We start from the raw sequence: 18719 nt of genomic DNA, 5'->3' as shown, positions 1-18719 counted from the left end.
ACAGGGGAGGCTTCGAGGGCAATGCAGTCTCTTTGGCATCCCTGCATCTCTGTGTGGGTCACCCCCACCCCGGGAGGCCATTCCTTGTACCCAGGCTGCGTCACTGGCATGATCTGATGATGTTCCCAGGGTTGTGGGTTCCCTCAGCCGTGGGTCCTTGTGAGAAATGGGACGCTCGGGCCCACCCAGACCTGGCCTTTTCTGTATGGGTGCCGGGCCAGGGCAAGCCACCATGTCCCTTCCCACCCCTGTGTGTTTCAGGCCCGCCTCCCCCGCCCCAAGACTGAGGCTTTTGGAAATCTCAGACCTGTGAAAGGAGCAGAGAAGGGAGGATGGGCCATGCTCCTGTTTCAAGCAGCCAGCAGGCATCCTTGTCACCCTCAGCCCCCTCTGCCGGCGCTGCCACGAGGGTCGCGAGTACAATGTGTTGAGTGAGCAGGCCCTGGGTCAACGTGAAGTTGATCGTTGTCGTGCATGTCCTGGGCTCCCTGTTTTTTTTTTTTTCTTGTGGCTTGTATGTGTTGCTCTGATGAGTAATTTCATAATAAACATGCTTGGGACGGCCTTATTCTGGGTAACAGGGTCTGGTTGGTGGTCCCGTTGCTTGGACCTCTTTATGTAAAGCGAGGTCATGGCTACACATGCTCATCTTCCTGATGGTGTCAAGTTGAAGTCGCAGTACTCACAGCGGTAACATTGAAATCTTTGTTCATTACATTCAGTTACTTTTGTTTCTATCTGTTATTTAAAGAGCCTTTCCTCAAGTTCAGCCACTCAGGTTTTAATTTTGATGAGGTCCAATTTGTGAAACTTTTTGTTTTCTTTTATGGTTATTTTCTGAATCCTAAAAAAGTCCTAAAAATTGAGTCCTAAAATACTCAGTTTGCAAAGATAGGCTCCATTTTTTTTTTTTTTAATAGAAGTTTGGTAGCATCACATCAGGTTCTGCATTTGTGTGGAGGCCTGTGCCCCATCTTGAATGATCTTGTGTGTGGCATAAGGCGGGGTCGTGGTTCCTTCTTCTCCATATGAAAACCCAACTGACGGAGCACCTTGCTGAAAACCTTCCTTTCCTGAGGGGCAGGTGTGGGCACCTCCGCTGCAATCAGGCAGCTGGGTCCACATGAGGGTTTCTGGGCTCCTGGCTCTGTTGGTGCCCGTGTGAGGCCTGAGGCTTGCACGCCGTGTCATGACGGGAGCTTATACTGGGCAAGTCCTGAGAGCAGCCTGGTCCTCCCGTTTGCTCTTCGTTTTCCTGATGGCCTGTCTGTCCCAGTTCTTTGCTTTTCCGTAGGAATTTCAGACTTGGCGAGTCCAGTCTGTGTAGTGCCTGGTGGGCTTGTGGTTGGCGTGAGGTCGGATCTGTAGATCAATCTGGAGAGAAGTGCTCTTGGAATGAGGCCAAGATGGGTCCCAGACCCCACACGTGGCATCTCTGTGTACCCAGGCATTTTTACTTCCTTTCAGCGGTGGTTAGTGGTTTTCAGAATAGATCTTAAACGTATTTTGTAACATTTATTCCCAAGTCTTATGTTTTTTTGAGGATTTTGTACATAGAATTTTTTTAAATTTTATTTTTATATTTTGTGCTGCTAGGACATAAAAATCCAGGTGGCTTCTGTGTTGACCATGTGGTCCTGCCAGGTGCTCAGTGCAGCTCCTGCAGTGATTTCTGTTTCTTGTCGGAGTTTGGAGCAGTGATGTATGAAAGCGATTGACCATCGTGTTTCCTCTTTTTTGTGAGTTGCTTATGCGTCCCTTTCAGAGTTAGGTCTAGATAATGACTGGAAACACTGTATTGAGCTGGGAACTTGGAAGTTTGGGTGAATTCTGTAAATTGTGTAGAATCAAACCATTAAGCACGAAATATCCTCAGCACCATGTGATGGCAGAATGCAGGGCGGACTGGTGGGGCTGCGGAGTTTTTGGGAACCGCCTTAACATACCTGCTTTTCCTTTGAAAAAGGAAAATCCACCCAGTCACTGGCCGAGGGCTCAGTGCATCGTCCTTGGCTGACTCGCACGGCTCAGGGTTGGTGGTGAGGGCTTCTGGAACACTCAGGCTCCCAGGAGCCAGAGAAGCAGGCTGAGGGGCTGTGCTGTGCAGGGCCAGAGTCTGTGTAGATGCTGTTCCTGCCCCACCGGTGGGCATGGAAGGGAGGCCCACCCTGAGTTCTGGTCATGGCTGTGGCCCCCGCCTCACCTGGGCTCCCTGTAGCCCCTGCTGCCTCCGACCCAGCAGACCAAGGGCCCGGAACCTTCACTTTTTGTTGGCAGGCACCTCTGACGTGGGGTCAAATCCGGCAGCTCCCCTTTCTCTTCCCAGCGCCAAGTCCATCCTCCCCCACCAAGAGGGCCCTGCAGGTGCCTGTGCACTGACAAAGAAGGACACACTGTGTCCTCTCAGCGGCACAGCCGGCAGCCTCTTCACAGCCTCCTGTCATATGGATATTCATGACCTGTGTTCTTTTGGAAGGAGTTTCGGACGTGGCTGAGGGAGGAATGGGGGCGCACGCTGGAGGACATCTTCCACGAGCACATGCAGGAGCTCATCCTGATGAAGTTCATCTACACCAGTCAGTACGAGTGAGTGCGGCTCCTGCTCGGTGCTGGGGTAGCCCTCTCCTGGTGTGTGCTGGGGACCAGCCCTGTCCCGGTGGGTGCTGGGGCATAGTCCTTTGTCTCAGTGGGTGCTGGGGTTCAGCCCTCTCTCCTGCTGGGGGCTGGGAGTACAGCCCCTCTCTCTCTGGGTGCTTGGAGCATAGTTCGCTCTTTCTGTGGGTACTTGGAACACAGCCCCTCTCTCTGTGGGTGCTGGGAGTGCAGGCCTCCCTGTAGCTGCTGTGGCACAGCCCCAGACCCCATCCTTCACCCGGGTGTCTGTTTTTATCTGATTTCCTGTCACCCCTGCCAACACTGGCACTCTAGAGCTCAGCCCCGCTCAGCCCAGTGCGGGGATCCCCTCCATGGTGACTTGGGCTCCTTTCTCCTGGGTAATGGAGCAAACTGGCACTTCCTTTTCCCTCCCACCTAAAGCTCTGCCCTGGCGCTGATGCCCCCCTTAACCCCAGAAGTCCTGTTGGAAGCGTGCGTGCTGGTGGGTGGTGGGGGTGAGGGCTCCCCTGGGCGCATTGCTGCCCACAGGCCTGGTGGACACCTGGCCCTGGTTGAGCTGAGCTGCCCGCCCTACCCCGCCCTGCAAAGCTCATCCCTGGCACCTTGGGCGTTCTCAGTCCTGCCTGCCCCACGAGGTCTCCTGTACTGACCCGTCCGCTCCCCACAGCAACTGCCTGACCTACCGCCGCATCTACCTGCCGCCCAGCCGCCCCGACGACCTCATCAAGCCTGGCCTCTTCAAAGGTACCTATGGCAGCCACGGCCTGGAGATTGTGATGCTCAGCTTCCACGGCCGGCGTGCCAGGGGCACCAAGATCACGGTGAGTGGCGGCTGACCTGGTTGGTGGGGCTCTGGGGGCACCTGGCCCAAGTGGGCTGTGGAGTCAGGGAACTTGGGCAGACACTGATCCCCGGCACCCTTGCTCCTCAGAGTGGGCTTGCACCTGCAGCCCCGGGAGCTTGGGAAAGCAGATTCTCGGGCCCCAGCCAGCCCCACTGAACCAGAATTGCATTTCCACGAGACCCTCAGGGAGTCTGTGTGCTTCCAAGGTGGCCTTCCCACAGCACCGCTCAGCCCCGGCCACCCTGGCAGCCCTGTGGGGTTTAGGAAGTCTGGACAGCAGACCCCACACAGAGGCTCAGATTTAACTGGGGACAGCCTGGGAAAGGGGCCCCTCCAGCAGCTGCATGGAGACCCTTGTGCTTGCAGACAGCTCCCACCCTGTCTGAGCTTCAGCAGCTCCTCTCCTTGGAGTGGCCTGAGGGTGGGCTGTGTGGTGAGCCCAGCAGTGAACAGGGGCTCATTGTCCCATGCCAGGGCTCCTGGCACATGCTGCCCGCCTGCCCTGAATGGTTATTGGGGATCCTGGCAGACAGCGCCTGAAGGGGCGAAGCCTATTCCCCGAGCCTCCAGGGATCAGGGCCACATCTGGCATAATGGGGCATTCCCTGGACCCCAGAGTTTTGGCTCCTGGACTCCTCACGGAGTTTTGGGGCTGACGCATCTTCCCAGGGCTCGGCTCCCGAGCTCTGCCTTTCAGGCAGACAGATGTGGGCTGCCCCCTTGGGCTGCTGCCCAGCTCTGGGATGTTCTTTGAACTTCTCTGGGCGCAGTTGAGCAGGTATGAGCCACCGTCCTCAGGGGCACTCATAGGTGTTGCTGGCCCTGCCACTTTCTAAGGGATTCTGAGACTTCTTCTTCTGTAAGGGACGTTGCTAAGTCAGTAGGAGGGCTGGTGCCAGCTCGCTCAGCCAGAGGTGGATCTGGGCTGGAGCCCACACAGTGGTACTGCTGCTGCTGCTGGCCTGAGCCCTGCTGACTGCCACCTGCTCCACAGGGCGACCCCAACATCCCCGCTGGGCAGCAGACAGTGGAGATCGACCTGAGGCATCGGATCCAGCTGCCCGACCTCGAGAACCAGCGCAACTTCAATGAGCTCTCCCGCATCGTCCTGGAGGTGCGCGAGAGGGTGCGCCAGGAGCAGCAGGAAGGCGGGCACGAGGCGGGCGAGGGTCGTGGCCGGCAGGGCCCCCGGGAGTCCCAGCCAAGCCCTGCCCAGCCCAGGGCAGAGGCGCCCAGCAAGGGCCCAGATGGGACACCTGGTGAGGATGGTGGCGAGCCTGGGGATGCCGTAGCTGCGGCCGAGCAGCCTGCCCAGTGTGGGCAGGGGCAGCCGTTCGTGCTGCCCGTGGGCGTGAGCTCCAGGAATGAGGACTACCCCCGAACCTGCAGGATGTGGTAAGGATGCGGCGGGTACTGGGGCCTGAAGGTGGGACAGCATGGGCTTCAGCGAGGGCCCCAGCCCCACACCTAGCACAGGCGGAGAGGGCCTGTGACCTCACAGAGGGCGGCAGCCGGTGCTTTGGGACAGGAGTGCGGCCTCTGACCCCTTGGGCCATGTTCCCCAGCACCTGAGCAAGCGGCCGCGCAGCTGGGTCCCGTCTTGGAGGCTCCTGTCCTTCCACCCCTTCTGGGGTACCTCAGAGCTGCAGGGGCATGAGGCTTCCAGATGCCTCACATCCCTGCAATAGTGCCGCTCCCCCAGGGGCTTCTAAAGCTACTTGTTTGCAGTCAATCAAGTGAAATATCATGTAAACTGTCCAGCAGCTTTGAAAGTAGAGAATGAACAAGGCCCCTTCCCCACCCACCCTGTGGAAAGCCCGTCTGGTTTGGTGTCCTCCTGGACAGCGTCTTGCCGGTCACCTTTGGCCATCTCCCGGTGCGTGGTTCAGATGTGGGTCCTGCTTTCCTGCCCCCTCCCTCCTCTGTGCCTGCCTGCCTCTGCTGTGCCGGGCCAGTGCCTTGGTGGCCAGTGGAGTGGACACCAGCTGCGACTGCGTGGGAGGGGCTGGCATTGCCGCTGCCACTGCAGGGCTTGGGCGGCTGACATGGGACGAGGCTTGCACAGCTGCCAGCTCCTGTCTCGCTGACTTTTTTTATACAGTTTTGTCTGGGCCACCGCCTTCAGTGCCACGGGCCCCTTGCCGTTCAGGCTGCTCCTCATAGATGAACAAGGCCCTGCCCCGTGTCCTTACCCTTTAGAGCTGTTTAAATTCAAATGAACTGAAACTGAATATGAAAAATCCAGGCCCTCAGCCGCCCAGGCCATGTTTCAAGTGCTCCATGGCCACATGTGGCTGGTGGACAGTGCAGCTCTAGAACATTCCATCACCACAGAGGGTTCTGCTGGACAGTGGCCTTGGGGGCTGTTTTGAGGGTCCGCCTGTCAGTCTCCTGGCATCAAAGTCATTCTGCCATTGTCAAGTTACAGTTATTTTCCTTTTACCTCCAAGCCACTATGTGCGTATGCTGCTATGTGTCTGTATTTCCCGCTAAACTTCCTGTCACGGAGGGAAGGGTGCCACAGGCCCAGCTCCTGGAGGGGGTTTGGATGTCTGGGTGGGGGGAAGGGTGCCACAGGCCCAGCTCCCGGAGGGGGTTTGGATGTCTGGGTGGGGGGAAGGGTGCCACAGTTCCAGCTCCCGGAGGGGGTTTGGATGTCTGGGCGGGGCTTTCTTCATGTTCCATGTATGATAACGGTGACTGGGGGGTTTACAGAGAGAGGCATACAAATAGTGTTGGAGTGTTGTTTTCGCTAATATAAATGTTTGAATAGCTAAAAAAGGAAAAAGCTCTGTTACCCTTCAAACATCTCAGAACTCCTAATACCTCACAGTGGGCTCAGAGCCAGTTTGCGAGTCACAGCACGTGCTGCAGCCACTGACCAGGAAGACCTGTCCAGCCTCCGTCCCCAGCTAACCTGCAGGACAGTCCCTGACGTGCTGAATATGGGGGCTCCCGGGCCCTTCCCTGTCTAGTTTATGGATCTGCAGGGCCTGGCCACGGCACCTGTACAGGGAATGCCTGTTGCTTTTTTTCTGACCACAGTGCCGATGGCTGCACCTGCCTCTGGGCCCTGGAACTTCTCCCCGAGCTTGAGAAGCCCTCTGAGGCCAGGCCCTGGTCCACGGGGCTGTTCTTTCCCCCGGCCTTTGGAGCCTCAGTGGGTGATTCCAGGCCAGCCCCTTACTTCTCGTCATCTGTTGGAAGAATTTAGCTGCTTGCAAGACAGACATAAGTGTCTTCCTGTCTGATGTTGACCTCAAAGCCATAAATGGGTGTTTGCGACTTCTGAGTTAATGTCAGCTGCAGGCTGCCTGTATTAGAGCTAATTGTATGGGGACATAACTCCCAGACATTAAGATTTTTTTTCACATTGGGCCTCCTTTATGAAATGTGTGTTTTGGAACAGAGCTCTCTGGGCCTGCAGAGACCTCGTTTTAGTTCAGTGTTTCAGCATTGTGCAGTCAGTGGGTGAATCCCTCACGGGTGCTGCGAGTCAGCGCCCATCCCCCGAGCAGCCCCGAGCTCTGGCCTCTGCGTCCATCATCAGGTGGGCTCGGCCTGCGCCCTTAGCTACCCCTTCAGAGACAGGCTCAGCCCACACCCCCAGCTGCCCCTGCAGAGACAGGCTGGCTCTGGGAGTCAGCTTCTGGCTGATGAACAGTGGATGTGGCTCTTGCGGCACAGAGCGGGGTCGCAGAATGCTGTACGTGGCGTGCATTTGACTCAGCCCTCCCCCAGCTCACAGTTTCCCTCTTGTTTCTGCTCAGTTTTTATGGCACAGGCCTCATCGCGGGCCACGGCTTCACCAGCCCTGAACGCACCCCCGGGGTCTTCATCCTCTTCGATGAGGACCGCTTCGGGTTCGTCTGGCTGGAGCTGAAATCCTTCAGCCTGTACAGCCGGGTCCAGGCCACCTTCCGGAACGCAGATGCGCCGTCCCCACAGGCCTTCGATGAGATGCTCAAGAACATTCAGTCCCTCACCTCCTGACCGGCCACATCCTTGCCGCCACATCCCGGGTGGCTCTGGGGCTCTGAACTCTGACCTGTGAATAGAAGCAGCATGCACTTTGGAAATCCGGCCTTTTGACCAGAACGCACACCTCGTCGGGGGGCCCAGTCCAGCCACCCCCCAGCACTTTATGTAGAGAGTGTGACATAGACCTGCATATTTGTCAGTGCCATGATGGAAGAAGCTGAGCATGTCTTACCAAAAACAGAGAGAACGAGCCTGAATACAGCAGATGTAGGGGACAGCCGTGGGACCGCGTGAGAATTGAAGCGGTGGGGTTCCCGCACCCTGGGCTGGCTGGTGGTTTTCTCGGGAAGCAGGACCCTCCTGACTGGTGCTCTTCCTGTGAGCGGATAGAGTGATAGACTGGGTCGTGTGTGAGACGCATGTGCTCCACCCCACTCCTTTTGGGGGAAGCCAGGCAACAGTGGCCTCTGGGAGGGGGTCAGGAAGAGGCGAACAGCTCAGGCAGCGCAGGTGTGATGGGCACAGTACGCAGAGCAAGCTCGGGAAGTTGGTAGGATCTCAGGCTTGGGGCCGGGACTCTGGAGTGAATCCCCATTTCTCTACCGGCTTGCTTGGAGTTTGGACAGAAGCATTTCACCTCTGATCTCAGCTTCCCCACCTGTGGAGTGGGTTTAGTGACCTGAGTCACTAGGGAATGTCACCTGAATGCACAGCCCAGCCCATGCACCTGCCCCAGCCCCTCCAGCTTTGGAGCCAAGGCCATCGTTCCAGCCACTTGACTGTCCTCGACGGCCTGTTCCAGACAGGGCGTTTGTTTTGTCCATGCCTTCCTCCCTGCACGCACACGGCGTCAAAACCAAGCTGCCGGCCACTGTCTCCAGAACGCAAGGCTCCAGGCCCGTGTGTCTGAAGCAGTGAGTGGTCCACACAGGTGCCAGGAGTGCCCATATGAGATGACGAGGAAACCCCTTTGCAGGTGAGGGGACAGCTTTCTAGAAAAGCCACACCTGCATCTGGGGACACACTTTGGAAAGTGGGACCCTCCAGCCTGGAGACCCCATGGACTGATGCCTCCACTGCTGTGTGCCCCATGTTGTGTTAACACCTGCGTGTGGGGACCCCATCTGAGGTCTTGGCTGAGGTTGGCATCTCCTGAAGAACAGAGAGCACGGTGTCCAGAGCTGGCCCTTCCCCCAGCCCACAGCCAGCTCCGTGCCCGAGTGGGCGTCCCCAGCGAGCCTTCCCTCTCTGCCGCTTGTCCTTGTGTCTGGGCTGCTCCAAGTCCTTGTGCTGGGCACCCTGGACACGTCCTGCTGGTGAGGGACCTCGGGAAGGTGACAGTCTGTGTGCCTTGGTGTGGAGACCAACCTGAGGATGTCCTGGGAAATGTTTTCCTGATGAATTTCTCCTTGACTGGCCTTTAAAGAACATAAGAATTCCCATTGCCCAGCCTCAGTGCATTTGGCAAATGCTTACTTTGCTTCCCAGAGTCAGAGAATTGGCAAAGGTTCCTAAATGGTAATCTGGCCGGCCTGGGAGAAAGACTCACGAGAAAAGCCAGTGGAGAAAGCGCCCTTCCAGGGCGGCAGCAGCGGGAGCCACGCAGACCCCGAGGCGCACCTGCTGGCTCTTGTGTGTGGCCCCAGTTTCTAGCGGCTTTTGCAGCATTAGCCTACAAGCTTTGTCACTCCCTGCCCTCTGTGGTGGTCACTGTTTTTCTCTCTTGCCAAATGAGGCAGTCTCTGAGTGACGGTGACTGTGGCCTTGAAGCCTGGAGGACTGTTGGGCATGTAGACTGGCACCTTGAAGATTCACCATTGTTTAAATAAAATCAAGCAAATGCTTTTTTACCAAGAGCCCGAGCCTCGCTCTAAGGGACGCAGTCCTAGAGGCGTGCCCTTTGGGGCTTGAAGAGCACACTGTGGGACGCACGTGCTTCTGATTAAAGGAATCTCAGATCTCAATTACGCTTCCAGTGTTTGGGTATAGAAATAGCTTCCACCCATCATGTCTCAGCCATGGGCTGTTGGTCAGTTCATGTGGCTCCTGGTTCTGGTGTGTATGTTGGGGGCGGGGGTCTCTCCATGGTGGTGACCTGCAGTGATGCCAGGCAGGGCCAGAGCCACACAGCCAGGAAAGGGAGGCCTTTTTGGCCGCACAGCCAGTCCCTTCAGTCGTGACTACAGGTCTTGTTTTTTCCGCTCCGATGTGTCCTTAGCCAGTTCTTGGCTCCGGTTCTGTAGGGACAGGCACTGAATCTGCGCGCCTCAAAACAGCAGCTTCCCTTCCGGGGGAGGGCATCCACCCTCTCAGGGGATCCTGCAGGTGGCCCATTTCCTGCAGGTGAGAACTCGGAAGGGCTGATGTCGTCATCAGAGGCCTAAGGGCAGCTGAGAGTTGGATAAAACCGTTTCCAAGGAGGAGGCTGAGTAACCCAGTTCAGGACAGCCAAGCGCATTAGGCTTGATTGGGGAAGGTGGCAGGTGGAGTTGGGAGGTTGGGACTCTCCATCTTTTGCACCACGGATGCCTTTCTGTCGCTGTCTCACTCTGGGGCAGGATCAAGTCTGCTCTCTGGAGTGGGGCTGCCTGCAGTGCAGCTCTGCACACCTGAACGTGTTCTTTGTCACTTGTTTGGAAATGATGTGATTGAAGATTTCAGAGAGGTCATTGGAGGCTTTTCTGTGCCGGCACTGAATGTTCATTTGCATGAGGAAGTTGCAAACGACTTCTGCAGGCTGAGATTCAAGGCAGGTGGTATTGGGGTCCCTCAGCCCACCTGGGCCGTGACCTCAAGTGTCCACTGCTGAGTGTGAGTGGCTTTGCAGGCCTGGTGGTGGGAGAGCCTCAGGCTCCCTCCTTCTTCGTTCCTGACCATGCCCTGGGCCCCTTCAGTCTGCCTGCGGCTCTGTGGCATCCCTGCCCTGACACTGGGCACCTGTGCCCCTAGCAAGCCCACCTGGCACACGAGGAGGGAGGGGTGGGTGGCCATGTCCTTCCTCTAGCCACATGCCCTGCTGGCCGCTCCATTCTGAGCTTTGTGCAGAACCGGGTCTGAGCTGGAGATTTTTCTCTGAGAACCTGCAGTTGTGCTGCAGCCGCACGCAAGGGCCCTTCAGCCGCTGGCTCTGGCTTCCCTGACTCCTCAGGGCGTGTTCACCCCCAGGCTTTCTCACCTGCACACGGTTAGGCCATTTTCAGTGCTCGTGGGCAGTCACGGACAGCAGCAGAAACTCCTCAGCCCCTTTGTTACTTCAGAACGCCTGCCCACATGCATCTTCTGAGCTCGTGTTGTCCTCATGGCCGTGGGGTCTTGGGTGCGAACAGGAGATGCTGAGCTGTGGTCCACCGTCCAAGGTGCTGCAGAAAGCAGCTAGGCTCTTTTAGGATGTTTCTATTCTGGTTGCTGCCTTCGTGGTGTAACTTTTAAGAACACTTACGGGAATGTGCTCATAGAACCATCACCTGTCCTGAGAATAAAACTCCTGGAATCATGATCAAGTCCAGTGTTAACGTGGCCCAACCTGTCTGTACTTCTGGGGAGAGACCAGGAACATCACTGGACTCCTCATCCCCGTAATTATTTAGAGAAGATGCAAGCAGCAGATAGTCTCCATGCGGCTGGTACTTTTTTTGTTGTTTTTTGAGACAGGGTCTTGCTCTGTCACCTGGGCTGGAGTGCAGAGCGGCGATCATGGCTCCCTGAGGCCTCAACCTACTAGGCTCAAGCTGTCTGCCCGCCTTAGCCTCCCAAGTAGCTGGGACCACAGGCACCCACCACCACCATGCTTGGCTAACTTGTTTTTGTAGAGATGGAGTTTTGCCATGTTGCTCAGGTTGGTCTCGAACTCCCGATCTCAGGTGATCCACCCGCCTCGGCCTCCCAAAGTGCTGGGATTACAGGCGTGAGCCCCTGCGCCCCAGCCTTGGGGCCTGTCTTTGAATGGGAATGAGACTGTGCAAACCGTGGACTACCCTGTGTCACCCACAGCTCAGTGGCCTGCCTGCCGGCCCTCAGGGGCTGCTGACCGGGAGACCAGCCAGAGCACGAGGGGGTCAGGGCTGTGTGGGTTTTGGCCTGATTCTGCATTTGGTTGTTTCTGGGGGCCATGTAGCCTGCCTGCATTAGGAAAGCGCTGTGCCATCTGATCATGAGCACCTCTGCACCCCCTGGTAAGGTGACCTTGCAGCAGGAGCTGTGCCCTGCCTGGGTAGGCACCCACTAGGTAGGACCGGAGCAATCCTGGCAGCCGCCACCTGCACCCGTGCACTTGTTTCTCCTCACAGTTTCAAGTAAATCCGTTTTTGAAGGCTTGTTGTGTGTTTTGTGATTTCTTTGGGAATATGAGTTGGACGGAGGCGAGAGCCTTAAGCCATGCGAGCTGTCGGCCTGGGAACCCAGACTTCCCAGCTTCTTGAGGAAGTGTCAGATTTCCCGCGTTGACAGAAGGGAGCATTGAAGGGATGCCTTGGAGCCCAGACAGTGGTTGTCCCTGTGTCCTTCCCTTTGACCTGGCATCAGAGGTGTCTCGAGTCCCTACCCAGGGACCCAGAGGAGTTCGGGCCCCAGTAGATTTTCTTAGATTTAAGCCAAAGTGAGTTGCATTATCTGCAACGAGGACAGATATGGGAGGGAATGTGCTGAGAGCCAGGCAGATGAACTGAGGATCTCATTGATCTTTCTTTTGTGTTTACTAAACTCATATGTTCTTGTAAACAGTTCTTTAGCATAGACAGTGAAAGTACCCCCTGTTCTCATCCCAGCCTCCCCGTGAGTCACTGCTGCTAATTAATGCTGTTAGCTTGGAATTGTAGAAACAGGATGTTTTCCATGGTAATGCACTCAAAGTACACCCTCGATTGGCAGAAATTGGCAAGTGTGATTTTCCAAGTGTTGGCAGTGATGCAGGGGAACAGGAACGCAGGTGGGGCAGCTGTTTTGGGGACAGCTGGTACTAGCTCATGGCACTAAGGACACGGGCCCAGGGACTGGCATCTGCATCCTGAGGTGTCCACCCTCGGGCAACGCGAGAGCCCAGGCATGGGCCACGCAGGGATGTTCATTGCTACACTGTGACAACTGTCACAGGCCGGAAGGAGGCAGGTGGACTACGGTGGAGCCACCCATGCTGTCACCTGGCAGACGGGCACACAGCCTTGTTCCGTTGCAAAACAAGTGAGAGATGGTATTGGTGTAACATGTAAAAATGCAAATACTTAATTTTTATCAATTCATGTGTGGGGAAAAGCTGAAGATACGCGTGGGAATGGTGTGGTCACTTCTAGGGGTGTCGGAGGGTAGAACTTCAACTGTTTTGCTTTAAAAAGTAAGGATCGCATGGCAGAACTAGCATCTGTTCACCTGTTGATCCTGATACCGTGGATTACGAGACCCCCCCTCTTTTCTGTGTGGTTCAGAAACAAGCCCCTCAGACAGGACACAGTGCCCAGGGGCAGTGACCTGCAGGCCCACCCACTGCCATCTCCGCTGGTCTCGGGGTTGCCACATAGCCTGCCAGCTGCGGCTGCTTCCTGGGTGCCCTCCAGGGAGAGCAGGGGATCGTGGGTCCCCGGCGGTGGGTGTTTCCTTCTCCGGGGAGAGCAGGGGATCGTGGGTCCCCGGTGGTGGGTGTTTCCTTCTCTAAGGTTTGCTGCTGTTTCCAGGCCTTTCTGTGGGGCCTGGGTCCTGTCCTGGGGCCAAGCCACGGGGTCATCCTCAGCTGCACTGGGCGTGCCAACCACAAACGAGTCACTTGCTACAAGCAGCACCATGCAGCCTCCTGTCTGGACGAGACCCTGCCCCCCACAGACTGGAGACGCACCCCGATTTCCCAGGTCACAGGGGGAAGTGTGGATCTGATAAGGGACTAAATGTGGCGTCTTTCATATGTTTCTCTTACATATTTTATTTTAAAATGAAAAAAAAAATAAGGTCATGGGGAACGAGTAGAAGGCTGCTTCCTGCTGCAGTTCCCCTCTTGCTCCAAGAGTGGGGATGGCCCAGCTGGGGGGACCTGCTCCGGGCCTGGGTGCCGCAGCCTCACCTAGACACAAGGGCACAGGCTTTGTTCTCCAGGGATCTGTCCGACACCAGCATCCCCCCGGGGGCTCAGACCCTGCACTTTTCTGTCTGCTGCTGGGGTTGAGGGGACAGCAGATGGGCAGCGAGGGCTGGTGGCTGCCCAGGCTGGCCATGCCCAACACCAGCAGGTGAGGCGGAGGCCGAGAGGGTGTTGTGGCCGGGTCACCTGGGCCCATATGGAGCTCACTCCTCCCTGTGGGGGCCGCTTGGCTGTGCTGCCGGAGGCATGGCGCTTTCCCCACCCGATGGATGGCGGGGCTTCATCCTTCCTCCCCTTGCAGGAGGCACGGTGCCCAGGGTCCTCCGTTTGTCCCCCCTCCTTAGGGGAGGTCCCCTTTTGTGGTGTGACCTCTAGTGGGCATGTAGGGTCACTGCAGAGGGCTTGCCCCCAGCCAGCAATGTGAAACAAAATGCCATTTGGATAGTTTCCAAACCTACCCCGGCCCCCTCCCCATTTTGACTTGAAAATCCCCAAGTGACAGAAGGCACAATGCGTGTCCTTCCTATCTTTGCCTCCGTCCCTCTTCTTCCTGAGGGGTGCGATCCCTGGCGCCTTCCCTTCTTCCTTGTGTGCCGGCGTGGGCCCTCCCTGCCGTCCCTGAAGCCCACCTGCACTGCCTCTGAGCCGCGGAGGTCCTGGAAGCAAGGTGGAAAGGTGCTGGAGGGCCAGGGGGAGGCGCCCCTGCAGCGCTGTCCCTCCCCAGCAAACAAGCAGCTGGGCTCTGCTGGGTGTTCTCCATGGCACCGTGTTTGGCAGACATTAACCACGGAACAACCAGGAGTGCTGGTGTGGCTGGGATCAGCCCACTCCACAGGAGAGGAAGCAGCAGCTCAGAGAGGCTGAGTAATTTGCCCAGGGTCACACAGCCAGGGAGTATTAGCCCAGGGCCCCAGCCCCGCAGCCTCACCTCTCCTGAACATGCTCCTCTAGGAAGAGCCGCCGCCGGTGACGCTCAGTGTCAGTTGCTCTGGGACCCTTTCACCGAGTGTGGGGTGGAATCAGAAGCGCCAGCTCACACAGCAGTGGGGCCAGAGCAGTCCCGGCTGAAGCTAGGCGCTGATGAACTTGGACTGGAAATCTTAACTTGGGCTCAGCCAGAGTGTATTGCTTATAAAACCACGACTTTTCCCTTCCCATATGAGGACTTCTAGTACCTTGAATTCGGTTCTCATATAAAAACACGAGGGTGCTGTTTTACAGAAACACAGGGAGGCTAAGCCTGGCATGCTGCGGCCACGTGGGAATAAAACTTGGGCTCTTGGGACTCACATTTCAAGCCCGGAGCCAGCTAAGGCCTCTGACGGCGCAGCCCCCATGCCCCTCACAAATGTGGGTAGAGCTGGGTCAGCATCTGGCTTCCGCATCCCCATCTGCCGTGCGCCCCTGCCTTTCCAGCCTGTGGCTCACCTTGCCCAGCCCCACGGCCTGATGCCCTGGCTGCATCTGCCTTGGCTGGGGCTCCTCTGGGCATCTGGAGTTGCTGCTTCCTGGCTCCTTACAGGATGTTTACAGAAACTGCAGGTCTGCAGAGGACAGACGGCTCTGCCCGCAGGGAGGACAGGCACCTGGTGCCCCTTCCCACACGTACCTATGCCACTGGCCCCAGGTCTGGCTGTCCTGAGCTCTCCCTGCCTGGCTCTGCTGATGAACATGCCCTTGTCAAGGAGCAGAGTCGGTGGAAAGAGGCAATGGACCTACCCAGGTTGTGAAGATGCTTCTCAGAGTGAGGCCTGAGAAGCAGCTTCCGGCCCCAGGGCCAAGCAGTAGGAACTGACAAAGCACGGAGGGTCCACCTGTGTGCACAGCCGAGCTGCAAACCCAGGGTCGTCATGTGAGAGCCCTACCCACTGCCTGAAGGGAGAAAACGGCTTGGCTCTAGGAGTCAGGCCTGCGGCGGGGCCCAGGCAGCCCCTCACTGGCTGAGACCCTTGCAGTGTTCTCGACGCTCAAGCCTTGTACGCTCGCCTCAGGGCAGGGCATCACCTCGGCACAGTTGGTGTTTGGGGCCGGGTGAGTCGTGCGCCGGGCCGCTCCATGCGTTGTGGGAGGTTGAGCAGCATCCTTTGCCCCAACAATGGATGGCAGTCCCTCCTACCTGTCAGCCAACAGGCCCAGACAAGCCAGGTGTCCCCCGGGCCACTAGGCGCTACCGGGTTGTGACCTGCATCTCCCATGCGGCAAACAGTGCTAAGCACTGGGCACGCGGCAGTGAACACTGACGGCTCTGACCCCACACAGACCACAACACATCATGTCCCGGGATACGTGCTCTTGGGGCTGCCCCGATCACAGACACATCAGGAGGCGGTGGACTCCCAGGTGCAGGGAGGGTCAGGGCTGAGGTGGAAGTGGGCAGGGGCGGTCGTGTGCTGCTTGGCTCAGGTGACACCTGGCCTGGCACCTGGTGGGTGAGGAGGGGCTAGTGAGATGCTGTGTCCTCAGCTGTCTTCCTCTCCTCCTGGGAGACACATAATTCCCAGAAACCTCAGCAGGGGCTGACTCCTCACTGGCCAGAGCCAGCCCCACGCCACCCAGGAACCAACTCTGGCCCAGGGAAAGGGGTTTCCGTGAGGCTTGAGTCTGTCGTGGCTCCCCTGCAGTTCTGGGGCTACCTTCCCCGGGCACATTCCACCCAGTTCCTGAGCAAAGCAAAGAGGCAATGGCCAGTGGGCCACCGTCTGCCATGCAGTCCAGTCGGTTTGCTCCCATGGATTGGGTGGGTGTGAAGCTTGGCGTCACCAGGAAGCTGTTGGGAGAGATGCACACCCCAGTTCCCGCACGCTGAGATGTGGCCTGGGGAGGGGGTTTGAGCATTTGTAGTTTCCAAGGCCCCCAGAGCAGCTGTCCTGTGGCTGTCATCTGCCGCCACTGCACTAAACAAAGCACCTCCGTTTCAACATCTCTGGGGAAGAGGATTCCAGAGAACACACTTCAGGAAAATGCACACTTTTACATGCCCAGCTAGCAGTCCTTTGCCCTTTAGTGAGAAAGGGTTGAGCTGTCCTTCTTTTTCCTTCCTTTTAAAAAGCATTTGGGCTGGAGCAGTGCCTCACCCCTGTAATCCCAGCATTTTGGGAGGCCGAGGCAGGGGGATCACTTGAGGTCAGGAGTTTAAGACCAGCCTGGCCAACATGGTGAAGCTCTGTCTCTACCAAAAAATACAAAAATTAGCCGAGTGTGGTGGTGCACGCCTGTAATCCCAGCTACTCGGGAGACTGAGGTGGGAGAATTGCTTAAACCTGAGAGGCAGAGGTTGCAGTCAGCCGAGATTGTGCCACTGCACTCCAGCCTGCGCGACAAAATGAGACGTTGTCTCAAAAAGATAAATAGCTGGGTGTGGTGGTGGTGGTGATGGGGGGTGCCTGTTATCCCAGCTACGTGGGAGGCTGAGGCAGGAGGATCACTTGAATCCGGGAAGCAGAGGTTGCAGTGAGTAGAGATCGCACCACTGCACTCCGGTCTGGGCGATAATGAGAGATTCCATTCCCCCACCCCCCGCCCCGAAAAAAAAGAAATTAAAAAAAATAAAAAGGGTTTGGTTAGGTTTTTGAGGTGTAAGCTATTTATAGTGAAATTTTACCGTGTGTGCAGTTCTGAGATGACAGATGGTTGTAAATAAGCACCATCAGGACATGGAGTGCTCCAGCCCCCATCAAAATCCCTTCATGCTGACGCTGCAGTCTCTGCCTCCCCAGATCTCCAGCCCCTGGCGCCCCTGATCTGCTCTCCACCCCGTAGTTCAGCCTCAACCAGAACGTCTGGGGAGTGGGCTCTCCCAGCAGGGAGTCTGTCTGCCTTTCTCCTTTGGCAGGGTGCGGCTCAGCCTTTGTGCATTATTGCTCCTCTAATAATGCACAATTATTGCTCCTCCAAGGAGCCTCATCAGACGTTTTTCCAATACCCTCGTGAAATTCTACCACCACAGACATACTGTTTGTGTACTGTGTGTATACCTGTGCTTCCTACTTCAAGAGAGGAAGACAGTTCCAGCTACTCAGGAGGAGGCAGGAGGATTGCTTGAGCCCAGGAGGTTGAGGCTGCAGTGAGCCACTATCACACCCCTGCACTCCAGCCTGGGTGACAGTGGGACACCCTGTCTCCAAAAAAAGGCAAGATGTGTTTCCCCCTACCTGCCAAGGACCAGTGTTTGCCCATCTGCAGGAAGCAGCACCTTGCTAGAATGTGGGACTTCAGCACGATGCCCTGAGATCCATCCGCGGTGTTGCCTGAATCAACCGCTCATCCCTCGGATTGCTGAGCAGGATTCACAGGGTGGAGGCACCACAATGTATCTGTGTCCCCAGAAAGAATACTTGCAGTTTCCAGTTGGACACTTTATCAATAAAATCACTATAAACATCTGTGTGATTTTTTGTGTGGACATAAGTTTTCATTCCTTTAAATACCTAAAAGTGGGACTGCTGTGTCACATGTTAAGCACATGTTGCATCAGAGGAGAAACTGCCACATTTTCCAGAGCGGATGAAGGAGTCCCCCTGTGCCACATCCTCGCCATCCCTTACGGTGTACTCAGTGTTCTTTTTTTGAGACGGGGTCTCGCTCTGTTGCCCAGGCTGGAATGCAGTGGCCTGATCTCAGCCCACTGCAACCTCTGCCTCCCGGGTTCAAGTGATTCTCCTGCCTCAGCCTCCCCAGTAGCTGGGACTACAGGCATGCACCACCATGCCCGGCTAATTTTTTGTATTTTCAGTAGAGACGGGGTTTCACCGTGTTAGTCAGGATGGCCTCGAACAACAGGAGGCGGAACTACAGGCATGACCAAGAAGGTCAGGACACAGGCGGCTGGAGCCATCCTGCGGGGGATGCCAGGAGCCAGTGCAGAACATGTCCTGAAGTTGTCCTGACTGCAGAGTGGAGTGGCTGGAACATTCACCCCACCCTGTCACTGCTGATGGCTGTCCCCACACATGGGTCAAGCAACTCTCGCAGTTGGAAGGAGCCATTAGCAGGTGAAAGTGAGGCTGTTTGCCTCAGTGGCCCACTGCTTCTCTGCCCTGTCTAGCCAGGTTGATGGTCCCCTCTGGTCTGGTGGTAGCTTCTGCTGCTCAGGTGTCAGGCCTCTCTGCAGGGCCACCACTAGCCCAGGGTGCTCCTGTGTAAGTTCACATATGGCGCTGCTTTGGAGCAGGCTAAGGCCCAGGCTGGGGTGCATGACTTGGTTAGCTGAGCACAGGA

At 56.8% G+C, this 18719-nt stretch overlaps 1 protein-coding gene across 2 annotated transcripts in view, besides 1 other annotated feature; it reads left to right on the top strand.

Moving 5' to 3' along the window:
• The window catches only part of FBXO31 (F-box protein 31), a 65135-nt gene extending 53381 nt beyond the window's left edge, over positions 1-11754 (top strand). For both annotated transcript variants that reach the window (NM_001282683.2, NM_024735.5), the window contains 4 exons: positions 2477-2586; positions 3284-3437; positions 4455-4855; positions 7231-11754. In NM_001282683.2, coding sequence (NP_001269612.1) covers positions 2477-2586; positions 3284-3437; positions 4455-4855; positions 7231-7453 — 888 coding nt within the window. In that variant the 3' untranslated portion in view covers positions 7454-11754. The remainder of the gene's footprint in view (positions 1-2476; positions 2587-3283; positions 3438-4454; positions 4856-7230) is intronic.
• Positions 6993-7494: an enhancer, noted in NCBI's record as "H3K4me1 hESC enhancer chr16:87364853-87365354 (GRCh37/hg19 assembly coordinates)". NCBI's record gives its function as "activates a minimal SCP1, AML or CMV promoter by ChIP-STARR-seq in naive H9 embryonic stem cells {active_cell/tissue: H9 hESC(naive)}" and the evidence as "EXISTENCE:reporter gene assay evidence [ECO:0000049][PMID:30033119]".

The sequence above is a fragment of the Homo sapiens genome, chromosome 16 (assembly GCF_000001405.40).
Source record: "Homo sapiens chromosome 16, GRCh38.p14 Primary Assembly".
Lineage (NCBI taxonomy): Eukaryota > Metazoa > Chordata > Mammalia > Primates > Hominidae > Homo > Homo sapiens.
Note: the sequence above shows the minus strand (reverse complement) of the source record. Positions and strands in the feature narration are given on the sequence as shown.